The 6,467-nt window shown below is 35.2% G+C and overlaps 1 long non-coding RNA gene across 1 annotated transcript in view; it reads left to right on the plus strand.

The window, feature by feature from the left end:
- LOC100505498 (uncharacterized) overlaps positions 1-6,244 on the plus strand; it is a 257,710-nt gene extending 251,466 nt beyond the window's left edge. Inside the window, exons 7-8 of the long non-coding RNA XR_923410.3 lie at positions 1,320-1,478; positions 4,015-6,244. This is a non-coding gene — a long non-coding RNA (uncharacterized LOC100505498). The remainder of the gene's footprint in view (positions 1-1,319; positions 1,479-4,014) is intronic.
- The last annotated feature ends 223 nt before the right edge of the window (positions 6,245-6,467 follow it).

Raw genomic sequence — 6,467 nt, forward strand, 5'->3', positions numbered from 1 at the left:
TCCGGATGTATTTATTTCTTTGAGGTCTGATCTCCTATCCCATATTGGATGAATAGATAGCTATTAAAATGCCATGATGATTTGAGGAATGTCAGAAAACAATAATTAATAGCTAAGATTTATTGAAAGCTATTTTGTGCTGAGCACTGTTGCCAGCATGTTGCCTGTATTTTCTCACTCTTTACAACCACCCAACAAGGTAAGTGCTGTTATTATTGTACCCATTTTATAGGTAAGAAGGTTGAGGTCAGATGGAAGATAACATGATCCTACAGTTAGTAAGGATATATACCCAACCAATCTTGTTCCAGAAACTGTGGTATTAAGCTTTTCCTTCCTTGTTCCTTTCCCCAAACTTTTTTAACCCCCTGTTCCTTGCTAGAGGAGCTTCATTTTTCAGTGACATTGCTTTAAAACTATGGCAGAGAGGTCTATGTGAGATGCAAATATTTCAGCTGGGAGAAGGATGAATAAGAAGCGGGGCATGCTATAGTAGAGGACTGACTTGGTATAAGGCACCAGGGCCACCAGAACCATGGAGCAGGTAGAAAAATCATGGTAAACCCAGGGCCCAGCTGAGAAAGAAATGAAGCACAAATGAGAACAATTGATAAAGGCAACTCTATCTATAATTCCTTCCATGCTGTCCTTAACAGCACTGAAGTCCTTTCAGGCAATATGCTTTGGCTTAACTGGGTTCTAAGCCACAGTTCTCAGCTAGTCTGGTAGTTGATTGTAGCCTCATCTCTATTACCTGAGGTGGACAGGAGTTTTCAGCCCTTAGCACATTAGTTACACCTGTGGGGAATTCAGGACACCTGTCAGCCAAGGGAACTGGTTGTTCACCTGAAACTACTCTCTGACCAGGCTTACACATTCTTTATGACACTACATTTCCCCCGATTCACAACCATATTCCAGCAAGCTCGTCCCTGTGGAAATGAAGCATTGCTTTGAACACTACATTGCTTATTTGAGCCAGACATCTTTCAAAGAGTAACATTGTCTTTGTTTGCTGTCTCATCTCTTTGCACAGCTAAGCAGCTACCAGAAATCTGCTCCGATCTTCCTCCAAACAAACCACCTCAAAACATGAGATCACCTCACACCTAAAATTCTGAGCACTGCTACTACTTAACAAATATTATTGTCTTGCTTTACCTACCAGATCACTCCCCTTGGAAAATAAACTACCTAGCATGTCATCTGGGTTCTTCAAGAATATCTGAACATGTGTTACAGGGAACGGCCATGTGGGTTGTCCTATTTTCTGGATACTGATTGCTCTATTCCATTTTCATTTCCCATACCTCTCCTAGGCCTTTGTTTGGGTCACAGAATATCTTGAATGCAGAGCTCACACAGGTTGTGATAGGCTTTACTTCTATCACTAACTGGAAACAAAGAAAATCTACACTGAAGGAAACCTTTTCAAGTCGAACTTCTGTCAAGCAATTGGAGGAGCATGTGGTTTTGTGGTAAGATTTGTCAGAGAGAGTTGTGGAAGTGGCTAAGTGTTGCAAGTGGTAAATGACTACTTCAATGCCCACATACTGTGTGAGTGGTGCCTGCTCTTTACCCCATCAGTTTCTGATCTCCGCTGAAGCTCAGAAAGAGATCGTCACTTGTTAAACACAACCATATCACAAGCCATTTTTAATGTTTTAAAAATTTATTGCTACATGTGGAATAAATATGCCATGAGCTATTAAAAACTTTAATTTTCCATTAAAAAGTATTGAAGAAAAGCTTATTCATTTGACCAGCCCAGAAATTTTTAGTATAGGATCTCAAGTGCAATTATTCTTTCTCTTACAGGTGCATTCAATAAATATGGACCAGTTCTGTGCTAGGAGTTTAGGATACATGTTGGTTTATAGTCTAGCTGGGACAAAAAAAAAAAAAAAACCACAGAGTAAGTTTTCTGATAAGCAAGTTAAATCACACATGACAAGCAGGCAGAGGAGAAAACCTGTGTGAGAAAGTCTGGCAAATCGGAACAATTGAAAGAAATTCAATATGGCGGTGGAAGAGTGGCAAGTGATGACATGATGATCCGAGAGAGAGAGAGAGAGAGGTCAGATGACACAAGTCCATAATAAGCTCTAAATATTTTCCTTGTCATTAAGAAATTATTGTAAGACTTCAAGCAGTAGCATGAAATTATAACATTTATGTTTATTTTCAAAGGATTATACTGGTTTCAGTAAGAGAATAAACAGGAGAAATTAGGAGACAGATATGGTAGTTTTGATTAGGTTAGTGACAGGGGGTAGAGAGAGAGTTAAATAGTGTGAACTGGAAAATTGGACAGAATTGGCAACTGTTCAGGAAGTTAAATATCTTAAATACAATAGCTCTCCATTCTCATTATCTGACTAAACATACCTCACCAGCTTCAGCTAAAAGCCATGTGCCCCCTCACTCTTTATGCTTCAACCACAATGACCTACAGTTCCTCAACCTCAAAAACCCTTTGCTATGTCTTTTTTAATACATACTCCTTTTGGCTAAGAATGCCCTCTCCACTGGTCCCTACAATTTCAGGTCTTCCTTCAGGACCTATCCTGAGCCCCTAATCTAGGGGCTGTTATATCTAGGGGCTCTTCCTGTTATGTATTCCCATTGCCTACTGCTTTCTTTTTTGGGGTGGTGGTGGGGTGGTGGGGAGGGTAGTAGTCCCTTCAATCACACTAGAATACTTTGGTATGAGGTGGAATAATCTCTCTTTTATTATAGTAGGGACTTTGACTAACTTTCTCTTTGCTGTATTCCCATTGCCAGGACACTGCCTACACATACTAGGCACTCAATATATATTTGCTAAAAAAATTAGCAGACTCAGATGATGAATCTTACTAAGTCTGCCTTAAAAATATGCACATCCTTGTAGAGTCAGTATGACTAAAATATTTAGTCTCCTTAGGTTTCTGCTGGAAACCCAACGATGACTATCTACTGCTTATAGGTGACACTTATGACCACCAAATTGGTAGCATAGACAATTCGGTCTAATTCCAGTGGTATACACAGTACCATAATTTGGGTAGCTTTTAAGAGTACTGATGCCCACCTCCTATACTAGAACAATTGAATCAGAATCTCTGAGGTTTGAGGTAGGCACTGGTATTTTTAGATTATCCAAATGACTAAAATATGCATGAGAGATTATTACAGTGTGATGTTTACTCAGCTCTACCAGCTAAAATACCGTAGATGTACAGATCTGATGTTCAAATACGTTTCTATAGTCTATTAAACTCACTAAACCAGGGACTGCATCATTATGAACTTTGCAATTCATTTGTTCAATTTCCCAGAAGCATTTATTGCGTACCTGTTATGTGCCATTTTTACATTAAGTGACAGAGATGCAGACATTTTTAGGACTGAGGGTCTTTAGAAATAGTATTTATTTCCTACCTGAAAAAAAGCTATGGCTCCCAGATCCATAAAATATCTGACTTGTATGTACAAAATCACTTGTTATCAATATTTTCATTGACTTGACTTTGAAAACCCTTGTTTTTATGTTTTATCTTCTAAATCAGTTATGCTCATGTTTATTTTTTCTGCTTACATATGTTCTGCCACATTTCCACTGAGCAGTAGAAGATACTACTTTTTAAATGTTATTACAGCTTTTTAAGGGTTATATTAGACATAGTCATGGAATAAAAGAATGTCTGCTAAGATTCATCAGCCTGCTCCTATGAATTTTCTCCTTATTCATATTACAGTGGATGATACATATTAATTACTAGACACAGGTGTTTTACAGGAGGAAAAAATGTTTTATGCTTCTTCACAGAAACTGTGTCTATTAGAATGTGAAGAAGAAACAATTTACCATCATTTTGGATGTCTTTCTCGCACTGCTATGTAGAATTGAGAGGCACTTCCTCACCTTTCCCAATTATTTGCTTGTGATTTCACCCTGTTGGAGAAATTCTCAGGTCTGTTTATCATTCAAAATCTAAGTCTCATTTCTTCAAACCTTTTTTTCTTCTTTAGGTCATGTGGATTCGCTATATGGAATATGATTGAAGGATGATTATAATTACAGAAATTATAGGTACTAACTTTCCATATTTTTGGGCTTTATACAAATTTCTGCAAAGTTCCAGAGAATTGCCTTTACCAATGAATGTTTCCTAAAATGTGTTGTCTATTCATTATCTCTTCCTTTCTTCTCTACATCTACTATTAGTAAGAGTTCTAATATAAGAGTGCTGCAATGATGATATATAAATGACAACTCAATTGAACAAAACTATTCAATAAAATGAATTTGCATTTAAATATCATATTTTAAGAGATAAAAAAGTTTATGATAATAAAATGGGAATGCAGTCTACTACAGGGAAAATAACTAGGACTTAGAATCTGTAACAACCAGAGACTGAATCCTGCCAATTACTTTATCAGAGGCTTTGGGCTAATTACCTCAACTTTCTTTCCTGAACCTCAGGTTAGTCATCTGTAAAAAAACAAAAATAAAAAAATTTTAATAACGACATGCAATATTTTCAATATGCAAAATTATAAGTTTAGGAAAAAATTGATTTGAATTGTTTAGGAAGATCTATTTTTCTACAATTGTGGTAAAACAATTTAAATAAGACAAGAGCATATGTATGACATAGGTGTAATAATGCATATCCCAAAAATTCATTTGAAAAATATTTGATGAACCATTTGTATGTATAACACACTCTTCTTAAAATCTAGAGATATGACAGAGCAAGATATGGTCCCTGACTCATGGATCTTACATTAGTATTGGAAAGAAGCCTATTAAACTCTCCATCCTATCAGCTTCAATTTCAGCTATTAGCTTTACTTTCTACTGTCTTTTTCAAGTCAAGATCAAATGGAGAGCAAAGGGAGTGCACCTTTCCTCTGCAGTTCCATCACTGTTCAACATAATCATCTCTACCTACATTTCAGAACAATTCTGAATATTAATAAGACAATGTCTATGAGATGAGCTCATCTGGGAAAGCATAATATAAGTGTAAGCCATTATAATTTATTGCTTCTCAAATGTTATATAAGATATTCAACTGGATATGTTATTAATAAAAAATTATAATAAAGAGAAATTTAGAATGAGAAAACATTTGGAATTCTTCATTACTTGATATGAATAGTCTATAATCTTTTTAAGTCATTCTGGCTTTATGAGGCACTTTGTCTATTGAGATAGATGGAGCATCTAGAAAGGAAAAACTTTGACATGCATTTTGAGGCTCTTTTGAAGCAAAAGAAGAACAGAAAGTCTTTTGAGGTTTTTGGATGTACTAGATTGAACCATATGTAATTACTGAGACAATATTTTTTGTTCTCCAAAATGACATTCCATATGATTCACTGTAGTTTGTACTTTAAAAATTGTTTCCTTGATTTGCCTTTTTGTTCATTGAGAAAAAATTATCGAGCCAACCTGATATTGTGTCATAAAGAATTTGTATTAGTTGTAAGAAATAACAACTTACTTTTGTATTTGTTTTTTTCTTTTTCTATTTGGTTTATAGGTAAAGTTATTTTTATAAATTGGTGTGGATTCCCGAAATATATTATGAAACTATCCATTTCTGAAAGGTGTTAACTTGAATATATCCTTAGTTCATAGTGTTCATGGATTTCATTCTAAGTTTATGTCAAAGTGTAGTATCTGAGAAGACCAAACCAAGGTAAGGAGGTCTGCTTGAGAAGAGAAGCTTCGCTGACCATCCTGTGAAGTCAGTGACAGAAAGTGCAAATTTCTTTAAAATATTTATGAATCTAAGTGCCATAACTATGGAAAGTTCACAATTGAAATTCTTACCATATCTGAATACAGTGACTAAAAGGAATAGATGATTTCAGGAGATTTTTCAAATTAGATGCTGGGTGTCAGAATTGAGTGGATCAGAACTCCAGTTAGCACGCTTAAATTCCAATTATATATATATTTTAAAACAAGGATATCCCTGGAACATGTAATAAGTAGTCCAGAAATTGGTGCAGCTAATTAGCAAGAGGTTGTGGTCTTCTCTTGAGACCACTGCCAAGAATGAGGACATAATCTTTGATTCTTCTGAGATACCTCACAGAGAAGATAAATTAAGAGATAAAAAAGAGTTTTCTAGAATTTTTAGCTTATAGTTGAATAATAAGGACATTTTTATGACAACTGGAACTAAATTCTCAAAATTAACTTTTAAAGAAATTACTTCATGTTCTTTATCTTCGTAATAGCCATAGGAGATAAGACCACATATCACTATTTTATAGAGAGGACAATCATGACTGAAAGGAAGATTTTTCCTGCAATTGACAGACTGCAAATAGCAAATTCAGATATTCATATTCTGTATATAAATATCAAACCTGGTGGTTATTACTGTCTATCACATTTTATTTCTGTATTTCACAGCATTTGCTATAATGAGTACTTGGACATCAAAAATATTTTCTTATTC

Source organism: Homo sapiens, chromosome 2 (genome assembly GCF_000001405.40).
Source record: "Homo sapiens chromosome 2, GRCh38.p14 Primary Assembly".
NCBI lineage: Eukaryota > Metazoa > Chordata > Mammalia > Primates > Hominidae > Homo > Homo sapiens.